General features: G+C 43.0%; 1 protein-coding gene across 3 annotated transcripts in view, besides 1 other annotated feature; it reads right to left on the reverse strand.

The window, feature by feature from the left end:
• The window catches only part of ENTREP2 (endosomal transmembrane epsin interactor 2), a 557,698-nt gene that overhangs the window by 504,707 nt on the left and 28,549 nt on the right, over positions 1-24,442 (reverse strand). The gene's annotated exons all lie outside the window — the stretch shown is intronic.
• Positions 9,407-9,926: an enhancer, noted in NCBI's record as "H3K4me1 hESC enhancer chr15:29924029-29924548 (GRCh37/hg19 assembly coordinates)". NCBI's record gives its function as "activates a minimal SCP1, AML or CMV promoter by ChIP-STARR-seq in primed H9 embryonic stem cells {active_cell/tissue: H9 hESC(primed)}" and the evidence as "EXISTENCE:reporter gene assay evidence [ECO:0000049][PMID:30033119]".

Consider the following 24,442-nt stretch of genomic DNA (forward strand, 5'->3'; position numbering starts at 1 on the left):
GCTGGTTTTGAACTCCTGACCTCAAGTGACCTGCTGGCCTCGGCCTCCCAAAGTGCTAAGATTACAGGCGTGAGCCACCACGCCCAGCCAAAATGGTAAATTTTATTATATGTGTTTTTCACCATAACTTTTATAAAAAACCTAAGGAGAAATGTTGAAACTACCAAGGAGAAGGTGTTATTGAGAATAAACTCCAACAGCCGAGACCTGTTGGTCCTCTTTGGTCAACTGGAGCAGGTGAGAGGGGATGCCCTGACCTCAAGCCTCTCCTCTCCAATTGTTTCAAGGTTTGCTTCTGTGAAAAGGAAAATGGAAGTTTACTTAAACCCCGGCATGTGTTTTATTTTGTCCTAATTGTGTAGCCAGGCATTCACTGTTCTCATTAGTTCTGCCAAGTCAGCACCAGAGGCTGGCGAGGTGGCCGTGGAGATGAACGAGTCCTTCCAGATGGCAGAGAGCGGTGTGAGGCTGAGGCTTGTCATAGTGATATGCAATGCCCCTGAACTCTGAAGCTGAGAACTTCCTTTGGGAAGCTGGGTGACCATCTGCGAACACTTCCACCCCAAACATCATCATCAGTGGTTTTACGATGATGTTTGAGTTCCTAGTGTAGCAGTTAAATTTTACAGCAAAAGCTATAATGCTCCTTTATACTTTGTTAAATTATCTTTGGACAAAGAGTTATGGGAGAAGGTGAAGAATGAAGAATTCCTTTCTGAAACACAATAAAAAGAGTGGATCAATGTTTTTCGGTAGCTCCTGGGGCCGTCTTCCCCTGACAATGTTTCTCAACGCTGAAACACACACATGGTCTTGCAGAGCCAGCCTCTGAGCGAGGAAAAGCTTGGCACCCCCATGTCCTGAGTGGGCTCAAGTTCAGGTTTCCAAGGCCATGGTGCCCAAGCTACAGGCAGCCAAAGTTTCAGATGTTACCATAGCTAATTGTAATTTACTCAGCTTCATCCTCACAAAGCTGAGGACATTAACACTGTAGTTAGCACCATTTTCCAGCAGGGGAACTGGGGTTTAGACACAGAGTTAGGTTTTGCTCAAGGTCATGCAGCAAGTAAACGTGAAAAATGAGGTTTGAACCCAGGCAATCTGGGTTTAGAGGCTGAAGACTTTACTACATGCAGCTTGGGCTCTGGTGGCAGAGATGTCAACGCCATCAGAACAATACAGAACTCATGAAAGCTCCAGTTCCAGATAGGATGTTGAGGACACCACAATGTCAGAAGGTGTCACACTGGTTTTGTTTTTAAATCAAGAAGGTGCTAAAAGGAGGCAATCAGATAATAGGAGAAAAAAAGTCACTACTGGGTTGGGGCACATGCATGAGCCTGCAGGGACAGGAAGGAGGGAGGGTAAGGTATCTCCACCAGACCCTCAACTCACCCTCTCCCTCCTCCTGGGTTCAAGTGATTCTCCTGCCTCAGCCTCCCAAGTAGCTGGGATTACAGGCGCCCACCACTACGCCCAGCTAAGTTTTGTATTTTTAGTAGAGACGGTTTCATCATGTTGGTTGGTCAGGCTGGTCTTGAACTCCTGACCTCAGGTGATCCACCTGCCTCGGCCTCCCAAAGTGCTGGGATTATAGGCGTGAGCCACCGCACCAGGCTTCCAGTCCCTTCTTTTGGCCTCTAGTTATAAAGGTAATTGTAACCATGAAATATCCAGGATATAAGTTCCCTTTGCCCACTGGTACTTTCGACTTGGTTTATCCACGTTTTCGTGCACTCTGTGTCTTCTTAGTCTATATCCTATGATAGTTATTCTACGATTCACACAATATCCATTCTCTCATTTCTTACGACCAAATTTAACTTCAACCTTTTCTAACTTTGTGATACCAGAAAATCAAAATGATTTATCTCTTTCCTTCTGTCTCCCAATAACGCGCACACATGCACGTGCGCACACACACACACACACGTACAATATAGTTTCTAGAAAATGTTCATCTAGCTCGGTTTTCTGGCCCTTAACCGAATGTGTGAGTAGTGTAAGGATGCATTTTCTTGATCCTGTGCTATGTTTAAAGCAATATGTCTCCATCTGATCAGGGTTATGTCTCTCTACAAATGCTGGATTTATGTAAATGCCACTCTGTCTCCAACCAGTACAGCACATGATTTAGCTGTCGTTCAGTGATGTTATTTTGGAGAACTGCATGAGCTCTAACTACAGAATTTAAGAAATTCTATATTAAAGGAGAAGAACCAGCATCAGTGCTGGCTTTTACAAAACTATTTATTTCAAAATAATTGGAGACCCACAGGGACTTGTAAAAATAAGAAATAGAGTTTGTTGAGCCCTCCCTCACCTTACTTCCTCCAGTGGTGACATCTTTTATAACTCTATTGCAACATGAGAGCCAAGGACCAAGAAATTAACACTGCTACATTACACTGCAACCTTACTCAGTTTTCACTTATTTTTACCCTGCATTAATTTGTGTGTGTGTGTGTGTGTGTGTGTGTGTGTGTGTGTATAGTTTTATGCAATTTTACCCTATGTGTAGATTTATGTAATGTCAGGATCAGGATACGGAACCATTCTATCATCTCTGGGGAACTATCTCATACCCATCCTATCCAGGCTCACCCATCCACCCACCCGTCCCTAACAGCAACCACTAACCTGTTCTCTATCTCTATAGTTTTGTCATTTTGAGGATGTTTTGAAATGAACTTGTACAATATTTTTTAAAAAAACCATTTCAAATTGGCTGTTTTTACTAAGTAAAATGAATGCCCTTAATATCCATCCAAGCTACTGCATGCATCAATAGTTTTCATTGCTGAGTAATATTTTCTTTTATGGATGAACCAGTTTGTTCAACTCTTCACCCTTTGAAGGACATTTGGGTTGTTTCCACTGTTTGGTTATTATGAATAAAATCGCTGTGAGTGTACAAGTTTGTGTGTGAATATAACTTTCCATTTCACTACTGGGTTGTATTGTTAGTACATGCCTAGTTTGTTGTTCTCTTTTTGAGATGAAGTCTGGCTCTGTCGCTCAGGCTGGAGTGCAGTGGCACCATCTCGGCTCACTGCAACCTCCGCCTCCCAGGCTCAAGTAGTTCTCCTGCCTCAGCCTCCCGAGTAGCTAAGACTACATGTACTTGCCACCACACCTGGCTAATTTTTGTATTTTTAGTGGAGACAGGGTTTCACCATGTCGGCCAGGCTGGTCTTGAACTCTGACCTCAAGTGATCCACCCACCTCAGCCTCCCAAAGTGCTGGGATTACAGGCATGAGCCTCCACACCTGGTTGTACATGCCTAGTTTTTAAAGAAACTTATTTTCCAGAGTGGTTATACCATTTTCACACTTCCACTAGCTATGTGTGAGAATTCCAGTTTCTCAACATCCTTGCCAAGATTTCATGTTATGCCTATTTTTATATTTTAGCTATTTAAAAAACAATTTTTTTCTTTTCTTTTTTATTTTATTTTTTGCTCTGTGCCCAGGCTGGAGTGCAGTGGCATGATCTCCACTCACTGCAACCTCCGCCTCCCTCGTTCAAGTGATTCTCCTGCCTCAGCCTCCTAAGTAGCTGGAATTACAGGCATGTGCCACCACACTTGGCTAATTTTTTTGTATTTTAGTAGAGACAGGGTTTCGCCATGTTGGCCAGGCTGGTCTTGAACTCGTGACCTATATGATCAACCCACCTCGGCCTCCCAAACTTAGAATGGTTTCTTCATGTTGTTGCTAGTACATAAAAATACAATTGATTTTTCTGTGTTGATCTTGTATCTTCAAACTTTGCTATACTCACTTAGCTCTAGGAGTTTTCCTAGATTTCTGATAGGGTTTGGCTGTGTCCCCACCCAAATCTCACCTTGAATTGTAATAATCCCGACATGTCAAAGGCAGGGCCAAGTGGAGACAATTGAATCATGGGGGCGGTTTCCCCCATACTGTTCTTGTGGTAGTGAATAAGTCTCATGAGATTTGACGGTTTTATAAATGGGAGCTCCCCTGCACAAGCTCTCTTGCCTGCCTCCATGTAGGATGTGACTTTGCTCATTTGCCTTCTGCCACAATTGCGAGGCCTCCCAGCCATGTGGAACTGTGAGTTCATTAAACCTCTTTCCATTATAAATTACCCAATCTTGAGTATGTCTTTATTAGCAGCAGGAGAACAGACTAATACAGTATCTTACTTAGCATTTTTTACCTAATCAGGTCATCTGAAAATATGGACAGTTTTATTTCTTCCTTTTTGAGCTGTATGCTTTTTATTTTCTTTTCTTGCCTTATTTTACTGACTGAAAACTTGACAGGACACATCCTTATCTTGTTCCATATCTTACAAGAAAAACGTGAGCTTTCACCATTGAGATGATGTCAACTGTAGGATTTTCTGTAGATGATCTTACTCAAGTTTAGGAGGTTCCCCTTCATACCTAGTTTGCTGAGGGTTTTTATCATAAAATGATAAAGACAAATAAAACAAATACAATAAAAAAACAAATAAAAATAAACTGTCTTTATTGTTGCCAGTCTTGAGATAATTTTGTCATTTTTACTGATATTTTCAAAGAGCCAGCTTTTTCTTTGATTTCTGCTCTTCTCTTTGTTATTTTTTCCTTCTTTTCCTGGTTTCCTGGGGTGGGTGCTTAATTTTTGACCTTAGGATCTTTCTTCTTTCCTAATATAAGCATTTGGTGCTGTAAATTTCCCTCTGTGCAGTGCTTTAGCTGCATGTCACAAATTTCGATGTGATGTGTTTTCGTTTCATGCAGCTATGGGCACTTTTATTTTTCTAACTGACTTTTTAAGCCATTTTAAAGTATACAATTCAGTGGTATTAGTGCATTCAAAATGTCATGTTAGGCCAGGCGTGGTGGCTCACGCCTGTAATCCCAGCACTTTGGGAGGCCGAGGTGGGTGGATCACGAGGTCAAGACATCAAGACCATCCTGGGCAACATGGTGAAACTTCGTCTCTACTAAAAATACAAAAATTAGCCAGCCATGGTGGTGCATGCCTGTAGTCCCAGCTACTCGGGAGGCTGAGGCAGGAGAATTGCTTGAACCTGAGAGGCGGAGGTTGCAGTGAGCCAAGATCTCACCACTGCACTCCAGCCTGGTGACAGAGCAAGACTCCATCTAAAAAAAAAAAAAAAAAAAAGTCATGTTACCATTACCAGTATCCATCTCCAGAATTTTTTTCATTATCTCAAACTGAAACTCTATCCATTAAATGGTAAGTCCTTATTCCCCGTTTTGCTAGTTCCTGGTAACCTCTATTCTACTGTCTGTCTATACATTTGCCAGTCCTAGGTGCTTCATACAAGTGAAATCATACACTTTGCCTTTTTGAGTCTGGCTTATTTCACTTTGCACATGTTTTCAAGGTTCATCACATGTGGTAGCATATGTCAAAATTTCCTTCTTTTTTAAGACTGGATAATAATTCAGTTCATCGTATGTATGTGCCATATTTCATTTATTCATCCATCCATTGGTGGGCTCTTGGGTTCTTTTCACCTATTGTGAATAATGCTGCTGTGAACAGCAATGAACAACTACCTATATTTCTGCTTTCCATTCCGTGTAAGTATATACCCAGAAGTTAGATGACTGGATTGTAAGGTAATTCTATGTTTAACTTTTTGCACAACTCAAACTGTTTTCCACAGTGACTGCATCATTTTACATTCCTACCAGCAGTGCACAAGGGTTAAATTTCTTCACATCCTCACCAACACTTGTCATTTTCAATTTGGGAGGATAATAAGTCATCCTAATGGGTATGAAGTAATATTACATTTTGATCTGCATTTCTCTAGTAATAATGTTTAACATCTTTGATGTGTTTATTGGCCATTTGTACAGCTCCTTTGGAGAAATGTCTATTCATGTCCTTTGCCCATTTTTAAATTGAGTTGCTTGTGGTTTGTTACTATTGTTGTTGAGTTGTAGGAGTTCTTTATATATTCAGGAAATTATTCTATGTGATCTTACTCTCTTTACATTTGTGAAGGTTTGTTTTTTATGATCCAGGTTTTCATCTATCTTAAATGTTCCACGGTGCTTGAAAAGAATGTATACTATGCTGTTGTCACTTAGAATATTCTATCGATGTCCATTAGATCATGTTGATTGATGGTGATGTTCAGTTCATCTGTATCTTTGCTGATTTTCTATCTAATATTTCTATCAATTGCTGACAGAGGGGAATTCAAGTACCCAACCATAATTGGGGAATCGTCTAGTTCTTTTTTCAGTTCTGTTTTTACTTCATGCATTTTGATGTTCTGTCCTTTGGTGTTTGGTACATGCACATTTAAGATCACTGTGTGTTTTTGGATGGTTGCATCTTTATTTATTTATTTAAGACAGATCCTCACTCTGTCATCCAGGCTGGAGTGCAGTGGCACCATCTTGACTCACTGCAACCTCTACCTCCTGGGTTTGAGTGATTCTCCTGCCTCAGCCTCCCAAGTAGCTGGGATTACAAGTGGGCGCCAACACACCCGGCTAATTTTTGTAATTTTAGTAGAGACAGCATTTCACCGTGTTGGCCAGGCTGGTCTTGAACTCCTGACCTCAAGTGCTCTACCCGCCTCGGCCTCCCAGAGTGCTGGGATTAGATGTGTAATCCACTATGCCCGGCCAGGTTGCATCTTTTTATCATTATGTAATGTCCCTGGTAATTTTCTCTTGGAAGTCTACTATATCTGTTATGAAGCCACTCCAGTTGGCATGGCATATCTTTTCCATCCTTTTATATTCAATCTACTTATGTCATTATAGTGAGTTTCTTAGGTGCATCACATAGATGGGTCATTTTTTAATCCATTCTTCCAATCTCTGTTTTTCAGTTCGTCACTAATTATATTTTACAGAGATCATTTATATTAAAAATAATTATTAATCGATTAGGGCTCAAGTCTACCATTTTATTATTGATCTCCTGTGTGTTGTCTCCAGTTCTTGTTCCTTTGTGTACCTCTTCTTGATTTCTTGTGGATTACCTGAATGTTATTTAGAATTTCATTTTGATTTGTTCATAATGTTTTTTATTCATTTGAATAATTTTCTTAGTGTTTGCTCTAGGTATACCAAAATATATGAAGCATATCGCAGTCTACTAGTATTGACATTTACCATAGTCAAGTGTAGAAACTTTACTTCCCTTTATTTCCCTTTGCCCTCTCCAATTTTTAAATATCGTTTTAAGTACTTCTATATACACTGAGTACCATACCAGATGGCATTATAATGTTTGTTTTAACCATCAAATATAATTGCATAAGGAGAAGGATAGTCTATTACGTTTGCCCTTTTTACTTATTCTATTGTTTTTTTCTTTCATTCTGTATTTCCTTTCCTCTTTCTGTCATCTCCATCTGCTATCACTTGCATTTTGTTTCTTTAGCTGTTCTTTAAAAGTAGATTTGGCTGGGCATGGTGGCTCATGCCTGTAATCCCAGCACTTCAGGAGGCCAAAGCAGGTGGATCACTTGGGGCCAGGAATTCGAGACCAGCCTGGCCAACATGGTGAAACCCCATCTCTACTAAAAATACAAAAATTGGCGGGGCATGGTAGTGCACACCTGTAATCCCAGCTACTCGGGAGGCTGAGGCAGCAGAACGCTTGAACCCAGGAGGCGGAGGGTGCAGTGAGCCGAGAGCATGCCACCGCACTCCGGCCCGGGTGACACAATGAGACCCTGTCTCAAAAATTAAAATAAATAAATAAATAAAATTTTTAAAAAGAGTAAATCTGATGGCAACAAATTCTATTCCTTTGTCTGCGAATGTCTTTATCCTTCAGAAATAAATGGTACTTTCACTAGTTTTAGGACATAGGGTTTATAATTCTTTATTTTTCAGCCCTTGAAAAATGCTGGGCTACTTCCTCCTGGTCTCCATGGTTTCAGATGATGAACATTCTGTCATTCAAATCATTGTTCCCCTGTAACTAATTCATCGTTTCTTTCTAGCTGCTTTCAATTGTGTTTTTTGGGGATTTTTGTCTTCAGTTTTCAGAAGTTTTATTATAATGTATCTTGATGTGGATTCTTTTGGTTTTATTCTGTTTGAGATTCACTTAGCTTTTTGAATCTAAGTTTATGCCTTGCACCAAAGTTGGGGAATTTTCAGCCATTATTTCTTCTGGCGCCTTTTCAGCTTCACAAATTTTCTCCTATCCTGGAACTCTGATGACATAAACGCTAGTTCTTTTGTCATTGTCCTGCAGGTTATGAGACTTTGTTCATTTTTTTCCCCCAGGCTATTTTCTCTATTTATTTATTTACTTAGTTTTTGAGACACAGTCTTGCTCTGTCACCCAGGCTGGAGTGCAGTGGCATGATCTCAGCTCACTGCTACCTCCACCTCCCGGGTTCAAGTGATTCTCCTGCCTCAGCCTCCCGAGTAGTTGGGATTACAGGTGCTCACCACCACGCTAATTTTTGTATTTTTAGTACAGACGGGATTTCACCATGTTGGCCAGGCTGATCTCGAACTCCTCACTTCAGGTGATCCCCCGCCTCGGCCTCTCAAAATGGTGGCATTACAGGCATAAGCCTGTATTATTTAGATTGAGTAAATTTTATTTCTCTATTCTCACATTCACTAATTTTATTCTCCGTCATCTCTAAGCTAGTACGGAGCTCATTCAGCAAACTGTTTCTTTCAGTTCCTGTATTTTTAGTTCTATGATTTTCATTTAGTTCCTTTTTTACATCTTCTATTTCTTTGCTGAGACTTTCTATGTTTACTTGTTTCAGGAGTATTTGTAATTGCTTGTTGAAACTTTTTGTGATGGCGGCTTTGAAATCTTCATCAGCAAATTTCAACTGCTGAATCATCTTCATGTGTGCTTTTGTTTGTGGTCTGTGGCCATTCAAGTTATTTTCTGGGTTCCTGGCATGACAAGCGGTCTTTGATTGTATCTTGGAGACTTTGGGTACTATGTTAGAAGACTCAGGGTCTGTCTTCTTTAAAGTTTCCATTTTAGCAGGCAGTTTCCCCGTTTAGACTTAGGATGCAAGTCCCTTAGGCTGCGGGTCCAATGACGACTGAGTTTTCAGAGCCCCTGTAGTGCTACTGTAGTCAAGTTTGTTAGTGTGCCACCTGCGGGGCACTCTGCAATGCGTATGTACATCTGCATGTGTGAAACTTTCACACTGGTCCAGTTCTAATCTTTTGATGTGTTGAACTGGTCAGTTTTTACCTTTGGGTTGATCAGCTGTCTGCGCCAGACCTTCTAGGCAGGGCTTAAAGAATCATTTTCTCCAGCTTTTTCCTATCTGAGATCCTCTTCCCCATGTCTAGCTGGGGGTGGGGACAGAAGTCCAGACTCCCCACTCCATCTCTGTGGACACCATGCCAGTAGGGAAGGAACTTGCTGCCAACAGCTGCCAACAACTTGCTGCCAACAGCTGCCACCTGGCCCTGGTGGATGGGAGTGGGAGTCCACACCCCCTCCCTGGCCTCTGCTGATGGCACCAGCCCAGGCTGCCTGCTGCTGCTGGGCGGGGCATAGGAGTCTAGACTCTCCTTTGAGACTTCACTGCAGTGCTGGAGTTGCTAAGGTGTGCACTTAGCTGGAGGTAAAGTGGATATTATCAAAAAGGACTTCCGTCCTGTGGGCTGCCCATTTCCCTGTCTCTGCTAGATAAATAAGGTTTTTCTTCAAGCTTTATTTTCCATCTGTGCCTTATGGTGGTTCTGGATTGCAGGCTTCTCTAGCACCCAGTCCAGAATATAGCAAAGATAAAAAGAAAACCCAGAGTGTCGCCACCACCTCAGTCCTCAAGTCTTGAGTTCTCGAACCAGGCTGCCTGCCTCTTTTTACTTTTCCAAGGGTCCTTATGATTATCCATTAAATTATTTCCAGGGTTTTTAGTTTTACTTAACAAAAAGGAGCAGAGGGAAGTGAATCTACTTGTCTAGGACCAGAAAGCCAGCTGCTTTTTTATGCTGTCTTTTATTTTGTAGCTAGAAACTCCTGGATTTTTTTCCTCAGAATGTTGGAGTCAATGTTTCTTTTATTTTCAAATACAGAAATGTCTTATAACCTGTTTACTAAAATGATAAAGAATCAGGTTAACAGAGGCCAGGCACGGTGGCTCATGCCTGTAATCCCAACACTTTGGGAAGCTGAGGCAGGTGGATCACCTCACATCAGGAGTTCAAGACCAGCCTGGTCAACATGGCAAAACTCTGTTTCTACTAAAAAAAATGCAAAAATTAGCTAGGCATGGTGGTAGGCACCTGTAATCCCAGCTACTCACAAGGCTGAAGCAGGGAGAATTGCTTCAACCCAGGAGGCAGAGGTTGCAGTGAGCCGAGATCCCACCACTGCACTCCAGCCTGGGCAGGTCCCAAGAGCAAGCCGCAAAGGTCCCTGGCAAGTCTCAGCCCGTGGCTGGATCCTCCCTCTGCTGCCTCTACCTGTTGGTTTTACATCAGGTTTCCCACCTGGTTTCTTCCTGGAAGCCCAGTCTTGCAGGGGGTACAGGTGATTTTGGACGGTAATGCAGAGAGACCAGCCACTCTCCACTGTGAGACAAGTTGCATGAGGATGAGGCTTCAGAGGTCTGGCCTGACCTTGATTCAGGTGCGATGTCAGGAAGGAAACAAACGTTGGCATTAGGATTGCATCCAGCATGAATGAATTGTGATTGCTGAATGAGTAAACTTTTAGTTGGAGGAACATTTCCACTCCAAACTCCCGTGGGAGTAAGTTCTTCAGAAACTGCCTTCAGTGTGCCCCAGGATTCTGTGAAAGTGCAGAGACTGGCACCACCAACTGTCAGCCTTCTCCAGGGCAGGATGACAACATGTGTCAGGTCCCACTGAATTGCCCAAAAGGCTGAATAAGCACATGTACCAGCTTTCCAAGGTCCCCGAGGCTTCAGGGAGAGGGAGGGGTTGGAGGAAATATTGATTCCAACTTTTGAAAGAAAAGAAAATCAACATTAACATCCATAGATCTATAAGATGTATTTTATGTCAAATAATCCATTGTAATTCAATTTACATGTAGGAATATAAAATTGCATTTGATGTTGGGGGGGGCGGGCATTGAAATGTATTTGGTATGACATGGAGTGGAGCCTTCAGTGTTTTTAAAAGGGCCCAGCTGAACCAGGAAAGGAGGGACAAAAATAGAAGGGTGGGGAGGGAAAAGATCAGCTTCAATCAGTTCATGCACAATTTTGCAATCAGAAATGTCAGAAGGAAACTATTTTAGTGTCCACACACTTAAGTTTTGTGAAATGGGGTGAGGGGGCCGGGCACGGTGGCTCACGCCTGTAATCCCAGCACTTTGGGAGGCCGATGTGGGAGGATCACCTGAGCTCGGGAGTTCAACACCAGCCTGGCCAAAATGGTGAAACTGTCTCTACTAAAAATACAAGAATTCACTGGGCGTGGTGACGGGTGCCTGTAATCCCAGCTACTCGGGAGGCTGAGGCGAGAGAATCGCTTGAACCCGGGAGGCGAAGGTTGCAGTGAGTCGAGATCGTGCCTCTGCACTCCAGCCTGGGTGGAGACTTCATCTCAAAAAAAAGAAAAAGAAAAAACGGGGTGGGGGTTTCATGAGGGGCTCACTGCTCGGGGTCTTACCTGGGTTCTGCCAGTGGTGGGGCTGTTACTTTCCACTGGCAGCCACACCAAGCTGGCCACACCTGGCACCTCTGGTGTGGTGGCTGGGGATGCCCTGGAGACGAGGTCTTCAGATGCCCCTTCATGTGCACCAGATGCCAAGTGCCTGCTGTAGGGGAGGGTGGCGGAGACCCTAAGGTTCGGTGTGCAGGAGGATTAGCCGGTTTGCCAGACAAGCTTAGAGCATGTCTTTACCCCACTTGCCCTGTGGGGTAAGGGTAAGAACTGTCACCCTTTGGTGCTGGCTCCTGTGCCAGGACCCCCTCCCAGGACAAGTGCACACGATCCCCTCCCAGCAGAGCTTGGATATAGCCCTGCAACTTGCAGTAGGCTCCGCCCACCTCTTCCCTACAACCCCCACTCCTGTTTGGGGCTGTAAAAGTAGAAAAAAACTCCCATAAAACCCAAAATGCTTTTTCTACTCTCACCCCACAAAAATCAACACAGAAGACTTCTATGGCCAAATGTGCAGGGATTTCTCCCCAAAAATAAACAAGCAATCGGTTCTGCAGTGGACACCAGCTGGGTATCCCCCAATTCAGTTCCAATACTGTCTACCTGGAGAGAGTATCAGATCCCAGAGGGTGAGGGCTCTGTGCCCAAGACTACCCCCCTTCCCAGCCCCGCTAGATACCAGCAACAAGTCCGGGGCCTCCAGAACTCCTGCCTGACTGGCTTCAAGTTGGGGTCCCCATGGCTCCTCTTTTGGTTTGATTAATTTGCTGGAGCAGCTCACATAACTCAGGGGAACACTTAACTTACCTTTAGTGGCTGATCACAAAGGACACAAATGAAGAGATGCACAGGGTGAGGCATGGAAGAGGGAGCACGAAGCTTCTACGCCCTCCCCAGGGACCACCCTCCAAGAAGCTCCCCGTGTTCAGCCATCCAAAAGCTCCTGCCATCCAGCCTCCCGAGTAGCTGGGACTACAGGCGCCTGCCACCACACCCGGCTATTCTTTGTATTTTTAGTAGAGACGGGGTTTCACCGTGTTAGCCAGGATGGTCTCAATCTCCTGACCTCATGATCTGCCCGCCTCGGCCTCCCAAAGTGCTGGTATTACAGGCATGAGCCACCGCACCCGGCCTCCTTAGGGTTTTTATGGAAGCTTCATGACTGATTAAACCACTGGCCATTGGTGATCAACTCAACCTCCACGTTGGGGGGTTGGGCTGAAAGTCCTAACCCTCTAATCCTGCCTAGGTGTTGCTCGTAACCAGCCCCAACCTTCCTAGGTGCTGCCAGCCAGCAGTCAGTTCATTCATGTGCAAAAAGACATCACTGTGTAGTTGCTAAGGATTTCAAGAGTCATGTGCCAGGAAACGGGGTTCACAATATCACAGGGGCCATGCTGGGTCTCCCATGAGCCTGAGACACCCAGCCTCGTCCATAGTGTGCTCAGGAGTCCTGCACTGTAGGGCGGGATGTGCACCCCGTGCATGGGACAGGGGACACAGAGGACACAGAGGAGCTCGGAAGTGTGGCAGGACTAGGCCACGATGACCCATTCTCCTGCCAAGGAATAGCGAGAGAAGGCTCCCCAGGGTGCAGCCACAGCACACCTAGGGGGTCCACGGAAACAGACCCCGTGTAGGCCTCTCCCTGTGAGTTCAGGTCATCTGAGACTGATCATTCAAGCCCCAGCCATGCGCTGTTGATGATGTGAGACCACAGCTTATCCAGGAATCAAAACAGAGGTGTCTGCTCCAGCCACCTGTGATTTATGGGCTTTAATTGCAGACCTGCTCCTGTCTTATAAAATCAGGATGGAGCCTCCACTGCTGAGGCAAGGAAAAGATTTGTCTAAAATATTGGCTGCTGTCGTCGATACTGGGACCTCTTGAGCCAGGTCCCTTCCACATTCTGATGAGGTAAGGCTGCTCTGGAAGAAAAAGCCCTCCAGAACATAAATCTATTTGACAACAAATGTCTCCTTCTCATGGCGAGCCAAATCCCCCTGTGCAGGAGCCAGAGATACAGACACAGAAAAAGAGGAGCTGGTTCAGTCTTCAAGGACAGAAAGAAAGAGAAACTCTGCCTGGTGCTAAAGCAGGCCCTCTTTGCAGCTCATTCCAAGCCTAAACCAGCTCCTGCAACTCTCACCAAAGCTGTAGCTCTTCACGGGGATGGAAAAGCAATCTCGTCGCGTGTGGCCATTGGGATGATTTTCTCCTCCCCTCATGCCTGCTGTGGACGAGGGGCGTTTCCTCACGTCGCAACTGTTGCTTTGGCCAATGGAACGTTAGCAGTTGAGGTGTGGGCAAAGTCCTGGAATGTGCTTGTGCGTACAGTTGGCTCAGCTCCTGGGCTCTGGCCCTTCACCATGAGAACACGTCCAGGTGCTGCTGATCAAAGGAGGAGGAACCCGTGGGGCACATCAGAGGCCGCCCTGCAGCTTAGAGCCCAGTGCAGCTGAGCCCAGTGGCCTGCACAGCTGTGCATGAAGAATGAACATTGGTTGCTACAAGCCACTGAAATTGTGAAGTTGTCTGCTACACAGCAATATTATGCCAGTAGTCCATCACCACATCCAGGACTTTAGAGAAGCAAGACCCTGATACGACGCTCCTGCCACCATCTCAGAATTATCTGAAAAACAACCCTGACACCAACATAATTTTTTCTCTCTCACAAATTCAAATTATATTATTCCCTCAGTCTGTGAGTCAGGGGTTATTTTATTTTTAAAGTTTGCTGCCTCCTCAGTATATGTAATTTGACCCTAATTTTGTAAGACATGAATATAGCTAAATATATTCCAGAGATGAGACTGAAATGCTCAAGATGGTGACAGCAGTATTTCTGGGTTGAGAGATTTAGAGTGACTTATGTTCCACCAAAAACATTTCTATATTTGTTCACATTTTCTATAATGTCATTATTTTATGATCAACTATATATACTTGATTTTTGAACAGATAAAGCTTAACATAAACATGGTTTAAACATAAAGTTTACTCCCCAGAAACTTTGTTCAGAATGTCAAAAACACAGGACAGGAAGATAAGTAAATCCTCATACAGCAGAGTCACTGTTCACCCTGGGAAGGGAGGTAACTGCCAGAAACCCAAACAAAGGGATCCTCAGATGCTGTTGGCCTCTTCTGCTTAGGAACTGATGTCAGAAAATATTTGTCCTTGAGAAAGCCAGCCCCTGATTAAATGTTACTATGCTCTGATACAATGTCAGTAAATCATTTCCAAAACCCCAAACACTGAAATAGTAGGGGGTGGCAATGACCACTTGGGTGATTTCTCACCTGGGAGGACATCATAAAGGTAAAGATGAGCACTGGGGTACAAATGTGCTTGCAATGGGGACATATGCAGTGAGCAGAGAGTGGGGCACACACCTCCCTAGACTCATTTCTCAGAAACACATCAGGTCACCCACTTTCTCTCCAAAAGCAGAAGTCAGATTGAGCTCATGTTCCCTTGTCCATGAATAACTGGATGTGTGAGGTTATGACAGATTTAGAACCTGCCAAAATCAGAGTGAGTGAGAGAGTGAGTGTCCTTCCTGGGCTAGAACATACTCTACTTCTCTGAAGTTGAACAAGATGGAAATTTCATAACCTCAAGGGACAGAGAGAACACTGCCCACTGCAGATGGTAATATTCAGGGGCATCCTCCAGGGTTCCTCAGGTGGGCAGAACCAGAATGGGTCATGGGATGAGAGATCTATTACGGGAACGAGACCTTGCCAGTTGCAGGAGGAGCTAGAGAAGAGAAGGTATGAGAGGGAAGTGTGCAGAGCGGAGGAGTCACCAACTAGCTGGTCTGAGAAATCAAGCTCGTCGCACTGCCAACGCTGGTCCATGAAAGCAGAGGAGACATCTACAGCAAGCTATTTCTTCAGCCAAGCACCTGAAGATGGTCGGAGTTATTGTTGGCCAGGAGGATGCCCCACAGTGAAGAAGACCAAATGGACATGGAGTACAAGGACACGCAGGAGGCTGTGGCACCTCCAAGTGTGTCTGTCACTGCACCTAACTGCGTTGACCTTCAGAGGGTAATGGCTGCTGCCTGCTGATCAGAATTGGCTCAGTCCTTTCTGCAAGGAAGGAAGGGGAAAGGGAAATCAAAAGGAATCTGGCCTTGTCAGTTTCTATGGCGAGGCTCTGCCAGCAAAAAACAGTGGCTATGGGCCAGGCAGCCCAGAGTGCCTGCTGCAGGGCCAGCTCTTCCAGCTAAGGGCTTCTCCACCTCGGCACTGCTGATGTTTCCAGCCCAGTGATCCTTGGTGGTGGGGGTTTATCCTGAACACCACTGGTCTCTATCCACAGGATTCCAAGGGCATAGTCCCTGCAAGTCATAACCAAAACCATCTCCAGACATTGCCAAATGTCCCCAGAGTGGTGGCAGACAAAACCCTGCCAGCTGAGAACCACTGTTTTACCTTCTGCATCTCAGAGTGCTGAATCAAGGTTTAAGAACATAATGAAGCTTATTCAGTCACATTGTGCTCACTAAAAACATTGTTTTAAAAAGTTTTAGTGAGAATAGAAAGGATTTCTGTGCAATTAATAAAAAACAAAGGGCTGGGTGTGGTGGTTCACACCTGTAATCCCAGCAGTTTAGGAGGCTGAAGCAGGAGGATCCCTTCAGGCCAGGAGTTTGAGACTAGCCTAGGTAACATAGCAAGACCCCATCTCTACAAAAGTTTAAAAATTAGCCGGGCGTGGCTGTTGCCTAGCAAGTAAATAAATCCAGTGTTCTATTTTTCTATCACTGTGGCATTCATTGCCTTTCCTTTAACAATTCTGGAGATTCCACTAAGATTGCCTTGTCGATTCTCCTTGTCTGGAGCAGTGGACAGCCCAATCTGAGGAGTGTGAGCCCTCAGCTCAAAGGGCTGAGCCCACGGTCAGGGGCTCTGCTGCTTTTTGTGGTGAGTCACTCAACAGCAATAATGCCTTTCTTGTTTGTGGAGTTATAACCTGAATCCTGGTCAGCAGTTTCCAATGCATGACTCAGTGTGAGACTTTGTTGGGATGCTAAAGTGATTTGTTGAGTTTTCAACCTTGATTTGTAACTTATCTATTAACTCTCTTTTGAAAGAAATCTTTGTCGTGGAGGAGTAAATAAGCTACTGAGCATCTGCAGAGTCCCACGGCTCTCTAAATTTCTGCCTATTCCATTTATAGTCTGCACTTCTTGTTCAAATGCATGTTGGGTCGTGGAGACCAATGCTGTCCAGAAAAAAACTGGCCGAGTCTTGACTCAATCTGAAAGTCTCTCTGTTACACAAAATTGTCATTTGCCATACTTATCATAATTATCTGTCGGTTTGTCTCTCTGTTTCTTGTCCTAAAAGTTCTGCCGAAAGTTTGTGATTGAAGCATTTATGCAAAAGTCAGACGTAACAATTAAAATGGTAAATTTTATGTTACATATATTTTATCACAATAAAAAATAAGTCAAATGCTGGCTGTACAAACTAAAAGTAAAGAGTGAGACATAGACTTACGGGAGGCAGCTAGAGCAGTTCTTACAGATAAATTTATAATTGTAAATACTTATAATAACAAAGAAAAAAGATCTCAAATCAACAACTTAACCTTCCACAGTAAGACACTGTGAAAGAACAGCAAGCTAAACCCAAAGCAAGCATAAGAAAGGAAATAAGAAGAATTAGAGAGGAATTTAATGAAATAACAATTAGAAAAACAATAGAGAAAATCAACAAAATCAAAAGTTGGTTTTTGTTTGCTTTTTTTTTTTTTTTTTGAGACGAAGTCTCACTCTTGTCACCCAGGCTGGAGTGCAATGGCATAATCTCGGCTCACTGCAACCTCTACCTCCCAGGTTCAAGCGATTCTCCTGCCTCAGCCTCCTGAGTAGCTGGGATTACAGGTGCGCACCACCACGCCCAGCTAATTTTTGTATTTTTAGTAGAGATGGGGTTTCACCACGTTGGCCAGGCTGGTCATGAACTCCTGACGTCAGGCAGTCTGCCCGCCTTGGCCTCCCAAAGTGCTGTGATTACAGGTGTGAGCCACCACGCCCAGCCAGAAGTTGGTTCTTGTAAAAGATCAACAAAGTTGGCCAACCTTTACCTAGGCTGACTGACAGAAAAGAGAGAGAAATCAAATTACTAAAATCAGAAATGAATGAGAAGCCATTGCCACCAACTTACAGAAATAAAAAAGAATTGTGAGGAAATACTATGGACATCTGTATGCCAACAAATTAGATGACTTAGGTGAAATGGACAAATTCCTAGAAAGACACAAACTCCAAAACTGATTCTAGGGAAACATAGAAGATATAAATAGTCATAGAAAAGAGATTGAATTAGTAATAAAAGAAAAAATCTAGGCCAGGTACAGTGGTATAAGCTTGTAATCCCAGCACTTTGGAAGGCTGAGGTGGGTGGATGGTCTGAGCTCAGAAGTTTGAGACTAGCCTGGGCAACATGGTGAAACCCCATCTCTACAAATACAAAAAATAAAAATTAGCCAGGTTCAGTGGTGTGTGCCTGTAGACCCAGCTACTCTGGGAGATGGAGGTGGAAAGATTGCTTGAGCCCAGGAGGTCAAGGCTGCAGTGAGACTGCACTCCAGTCTGGGCAACAGAGTGAGGGCCTGTCTCAAACAAAACAAAACAAAACAAAACAAAAAAACCAAAAAGAAAAGAAAAGAAAAAAGATTCCCACAAAGAAAAGCACAGCACTGAGGAATTCTACCAAACATTTACTAAAGAATTATACTGATCTTTCACAAAATCTTCCAAAAAATACAACAGAAGCCAACACTTTCCAACTCTTCCTATGAGCCTGATAATAGCCCAATACCAAAAACAAAGATATCACAAGAAGAGAAAACTACAGACCAGTATCTCTTATGAGTACAGATGCAAAAATTCTGAACAAATTACTACCAAATTGAATCCAGCAATGTGTAAAAAGGATTTACACCATAATCAAGTGGGATTTATCCCAGGAATGGAAAGTTGGCTTAATATCTAACAATAGATTATTTTAATACACCATGCCTTTACAATAAAGGAAAAAACACACAACAATCTTAATAGATGCAAAAAAGCACTTGGTAAAATTTAATACTCTTTCATAATTTAAAAAAGTCACTTTTAAAAACTAGCAATAGAAGTTCCTAAGCCTGATAAAAAGCATCTATGAAAAACTTACAGCTAATATCATACTTAGTAGAGAGACTGCCTACTTTTCCCCTAAGATCAAGATGTCTGTTCTTGCCACCTCTACTCAATATTATACCGGAAGTTCTAGCCAGCGAAATTAGGCAAGAAAATGAAACAAAAGTCATCAAAATTGGAAAGGAAAAAATAAAACCATCACTATTTGTAGATTATCTAATCCTGTCTTTACAAAATCCTAAGGGGTCTAAGAAAAAAATTAATATTAGAACTAATAAATGAGTTCAGCCAAGTTTCAGGATACAAGATCAATATCAAAAAATCAGTTGTATTTCTATACATTAGCATGCACAATCAAAAAATGAAAGTAGAAAAACAGGCTGGGCACGGTGGCTCACGCCTGTAATCCCAGCACTTTGCAAGGCTAAGGTGGGCAGATCACTTGAGGTCAGGAGTTCCACATCAGCCTGGCCAACATGGTGAAACCCTGTCTCTAAAAAAAGCACAAAAATTAGCCGGGCATGGTGGTGCGCACCTGTAGTCCCAGCTACTCAGAAGGCTGAGGCACAAGAATCTCTTGAACACGGGAGGCAGAGGTTGGAGTGAGCCAAGATTGCGCCACTGCACTCCACCCTGGGCAACAGAGTAAGACTCTGTCTCAAAAAAAAAAAAAAAAAGAAAGAAATTAGAAAAACAAATTCATTTACGAGATCATTAAAAGGAATAAAATACCTAGGAGTAAATTTGACAAAAGAAGTGCATAACTTATGCTCTGAATACCACAAAATGTTGTTGAAAGAGATTAAAGAAACTCTAAATATATGCAAAAACATATCCCATGTTCATGTATTCAAAGACTTAATAATGTTAACATGGCAATATTACCCAAATTGATCTACAAAATTAAAGCAATTCCTATCAAAATCCCAGCTGACTTATTTGCAAAAATTGACAAGCTGATTCTAAAATTCATATAGGAACTCATGGACCCAAAATAGTAAAAAAGAAAACATTTTGGAAAAGAAGAACAAATCTGTAGCACTTAAAATTCCCAATTTCATAACTTAATGCAAAGTTAACAATAATCAAGACAGCGTGGTATTGGCATAAGGATAGATATATAGATCAGTGGAATAGAATTAAGAATCTAGAAATGAACCTGTGCATCTCTATATTCAACTGATTTTCATTAATGGTGCCAAAACCATTCAATAGGGGGGAGAGAATAATCTTTTCAACTGGGTGTGGGGAATAACAATTATATATATACATATATATATACACACACACATATATATACTGTATATACACATATATACATATATACACATATATATCATATATACATATATACACATATATATCATATGTACATATATACACATATATATACTATATACTATATATATACTATATATATAGTGTATATGTATACATACATACATACTATATATTTTTTTGAGACGGTGTTTTGCTCTGTCCCCAGGCTGAAGTGCAGTGGCACGATCTCGGCTCACTGCAACCTCTGCCTCCCAGGTTCAAGCGATTCTTCTGCCTCAGACTGCCAAGTAGCTGGGACTGTAGGCACACGCCACGACACACGGCTAATTTTTTGTATTTTTAGTAGAGATGGGATTTCACCATGCTGGCCAGGATGATCTCGATCTCTTGACCTTGTGATCCACCCGCCTTGGCCTCCCAAAGTGCAGGGATTACAGGCATGAGCCATCGCGCCTGGCCAATAATATTCTTTTCAACAAATGGTGCTGGGACAACTGGATGTCTACATGCAAAAGAATTAAATTGAACCCCTACCTCATTCCACATGCAAAACTGAAAGGCAAGTAAAAACGAATTAAAGACCTAAACGTAAGAGCTAAAACTACGGAATTCTTAGAAGAACACATAGACTTAAATCTTCACAACCTTGGATTAAGCAACATTTTCTTAGAGATGACACCAAAAGCACAAGAAGCAAAACCAAAAGTAGATAAATTGGACTTCACTAAAACTAAAATTTCTGTATTTCAAAGGACAACATTAAGGTAGTTAAAATACAAGCACAGAATGGGAGAAAATATTTGCAAATTATCCTATCAACTCAACAATAAAAACACAAATAACACGACTGAAAAGTGGACAAAGGATTAGAATAGATAGACATTTCTCCCACTATACAAATGGACCAATAAGCACACAAAAAGATGTTCAACATCATTAGCCACCAGGGAAATGCAAATCTAAACCACATGAGACGGCACTTCACATCCAACAGAAAATCTAGACTCGAAAATACAAGTGATAACAAGCATCAAAAAAGACATGAAGAGGCTGGGCACAGTGGCTCACGCCTGTAATCCCAGCACTTTGGGAGGCGGAAGCAGGTGGATCATGAGGTCAGGAGATTGAGACCATCCTGGCTAACACGGTGAAACCCCATCTCTACTGAAAATACAAAAAATTAGCCGGGCATGGTGGTGAGCACCTGAGTCCCAGCTACTCTGGAGGCTGAGGCAGGAGAATGATGGGAACCTGGGAGGCGGAGCTTGCAGTGAGCCAAGATGGGGCCACTGCACTCCAGCCTGGGTGACGGAGCGAGACTCTGTCTCAAAAAAAAAAAAAAAAAAGAAAGAAAGAAAAAGACTTGAAGGAATTGTAACTCTCATACACTACTGATGAGAATGTAAATTGGTACAGTCACTTTGGAGAACAGACTGGCCATTCCTCAAATGGTTACCATATACCCCAGTAATTCCATTTGTAGGCGTATACTGAATATAAATAAAAACATATGCCTGCATAAAAGCTTGTACGTGAATGTTCAAAGCAGCATTATTCATAATATCCAAAAAGTGGAAACAACCCAAATGTCCACCAACTGATGTATGAATAAAATAAAATGTGGTATACATTTTACTGGATATCATTTGTCAAGAAGAATAAATGAACTGATACATGCTTCAGCAGGAATGAACCCTGGAAACAGCATGCTAAGTGAAGGAAACTCGTTCCAAAAGACCATATGTTCTATGATTTTACTTTTGTGATGTGTCCAGAACCGGCAGGTCTTTACAGATAGAAAGTAGATTACCGGTTGCCAAGGGCTGATGGGACAATGACAAAGGGGTGCAGAGTTCCTCTTGGGAAAATAAAAACGTTCTAAAATGGATTATGTGATAACCCTATGAATATATACTAAAGGCCATTTAATTGTGCACTTTACATGGGCAGATTGCCAGTATATAAATGATATCTCAATAAAGCCGGTTATCGAAAGGAGTCATATAGAGACAGGGAAGTAAACGCTCAAAGGGTTCTGCCTGAATTCATCATCACAGAAGTGAGTCCTGGCCGGGCGCGGTGGCCCACGCCTGTAATCCTAGCACTTTGGGAGGCCGAGGCGGGTGGATTGCCTGAGCTCAGGAGTTTAAGACCAGCCTGGGCAACATGGTGAAACCCCGTCTCTACTAACATACAAAAAATTAGCCAGGCATGGCAGCATGCACCTGTAGTCCCAGCTACTCGGGAAGCTGAGGTAGGAGAATTGCTTGAACCGGGGAGGTGGAGGTTGCAGTGAGCTGAGATCATGCCACTGCCCTCCAGCCTGGGCAACAGAGCGAGACTCCAAGACTCCATCTCCATAAAAAAAAAAAAAAGAAAAAAAAAGAAAGAAAAGAAAAAGAAAAGTAAAGAAGAAAAATAAAAAAAAGAAGTGGGTCCCAAAGTTACTAACCCAGTCAGAAGAAATTGGGATCAGCCAGGCATGGTAGCTCATGCTTGTAATCCCATAATTCCAGCTCTTTGGGAGGCCAAGGCAAGAAGATTGCTTGAGCCCAGGAATTAAAGACCAGACTGGGAAACACGGCAAGGTGCCATCTCTGAAAAAAGAGAAATAAATTGAGTTCATTGGGAGACCACAAACTTAAGAGGAACACCAAATACACACTATAGCAGGACATTATCAGAGAATTCTTAGAAATGGAGCATATGGAAAAGAAAAGAAATCCATGGCCCTCCAATCTGCAGAGCTCACTCCAAACCTTAAAGCCAGGGATGATGAGACGTGAGAATTCTGTTTCTCAGTTAACCTAGAATTAAGTCTAAATGGTGAAAAAAAATAGATGTAGATCCTGCCAACAGCAGGGACTTTGGAAAAATGTGTCCAGCATCAAAGGAGGACTCAAAGGCAAAAGCATTTTGAAAAGAAAAGGCAAAGCATGCAAGGCAGTCAGACATCAGGAGCATTTACCCACCAAATCAGAAAGCACGAATGTTGAAAACCGCAGCAATGATGCCTCCCTGCAACCTCACCAAAGTTGCCACATTACAGTAGCTTGTTCATGGTGGGGAACCAGTCGTTTTTCTCATGTGATTACCTTATTTATTTATTTATTTATTTATTTTGAGACAGAGTCTCGCTCTGTCACCCAGGCTGCAGTGCAGTGGTGTGGTCTCGGCTCACTACAAGCTCTGCCTCCCAGGGTTCACGCCATTCTCCTGCCTCAGCTTCCCAAGTAGCTGGGACTACAGGTGCCCGCCACCATACCCAGCTACTTTTTTGTATTTTTTTAGTAGAGACAGGGTTTCACCATGTTAGCCAGAATGGTCTCAATCTCCTGACCTCGTGATCCGCCCACTCAGCCTCCCAAAGTGCTGGGATTACAGGCGTGAGCCACTGCGCCTGGCCGTGATTACCATATTTCTGAAAGACATAATACTTTTGTGGGAAATGCTCAGTATTTTATTGATTCTGGGTACTAGAATAAGACATGATTTATTTCAGAGTGAAATATGTGAGGTTTTTCCTGACTGTGGCAGGTCACACTGGAAGCAGGGCAAATGTCAGATTTATGTTTTTGGTCTTGTCTTGAAAGTAAAAGGCCAGTTGTAGTCAACAGAGCTCTTGCTGGCATAATTCCAAAGGCCATAAGAGTGCTTGGCTATGTCTTCTGTTCTCTGATTCAGAAGAAAAGAAATCATTGATTGTGTTAGCTTTCTATTGATGCCTAACAAATTACCTCAAAATTAGCAGCTTAAAACAGCACCCGTTGATCACCTCACCATTCTGGAGGTCAGAAGTCCAGGTGGCTTGACTGGCTTCTCTGCTCAAGGTCTCACAAAGCTGATATTGAGGTGTGGGCCAGGCTGGGTTTTTATCTGAAGGCTCGAGGAATAACCCATTTCGTGCTTACTCGGGATGCCGGCACAGTTCCGTTCCATACAGTTGTAGGACTGGGGAGCTTGTTTCCTTTCTGGTTGTCAGCTAGGGGTGAAGAGCCACTGTCCTTCTCTACGTGAGGCCCTCTGTGTCTTCAAACCAGTGATGGCACTTCAGTTCCTTCTTGTGGTTGGGCTCTTTCTCCTTCTGCCTTCTCTTCTACCTGCCTCTTCTCCCATCAGCTGGGGAAAGTCCTCTACATTTAAGGACTCGTGTAATTAGATTAGGCTCACACAGATAATCTCACAGGTTAATCTCTGAATCTTAAGTTCAGCTGACTTGGGAACTTAATTATAACTGCAAAATCCCTTGTTGGCAGTACCTAGATGAACATTTGATGGAATAACCAGGGATGGAAATCTTGGGGCATGGAGGCACTTTTAGGACATGGCCTACCATATCTATAGACATAAAGAGACACAAAGGCCTATTTCTAGTTGACACAAGGGCCACTCTGTCTATCCTGAACCC

The sequence above is a fragment of the Homo sapiens genome, chromosome 15 (assembly GCF_000001405.40).
Source record: "Homo sapiens chromosome 15, GRCh38.p14 Primary Assembly".
NCBI classification, from domain to species: domain Eukaryota; kingdom Metazoa; phylum Chordata; class Mammalia; order Primates; family Hominidae; genus Homo; species Homo sapiens.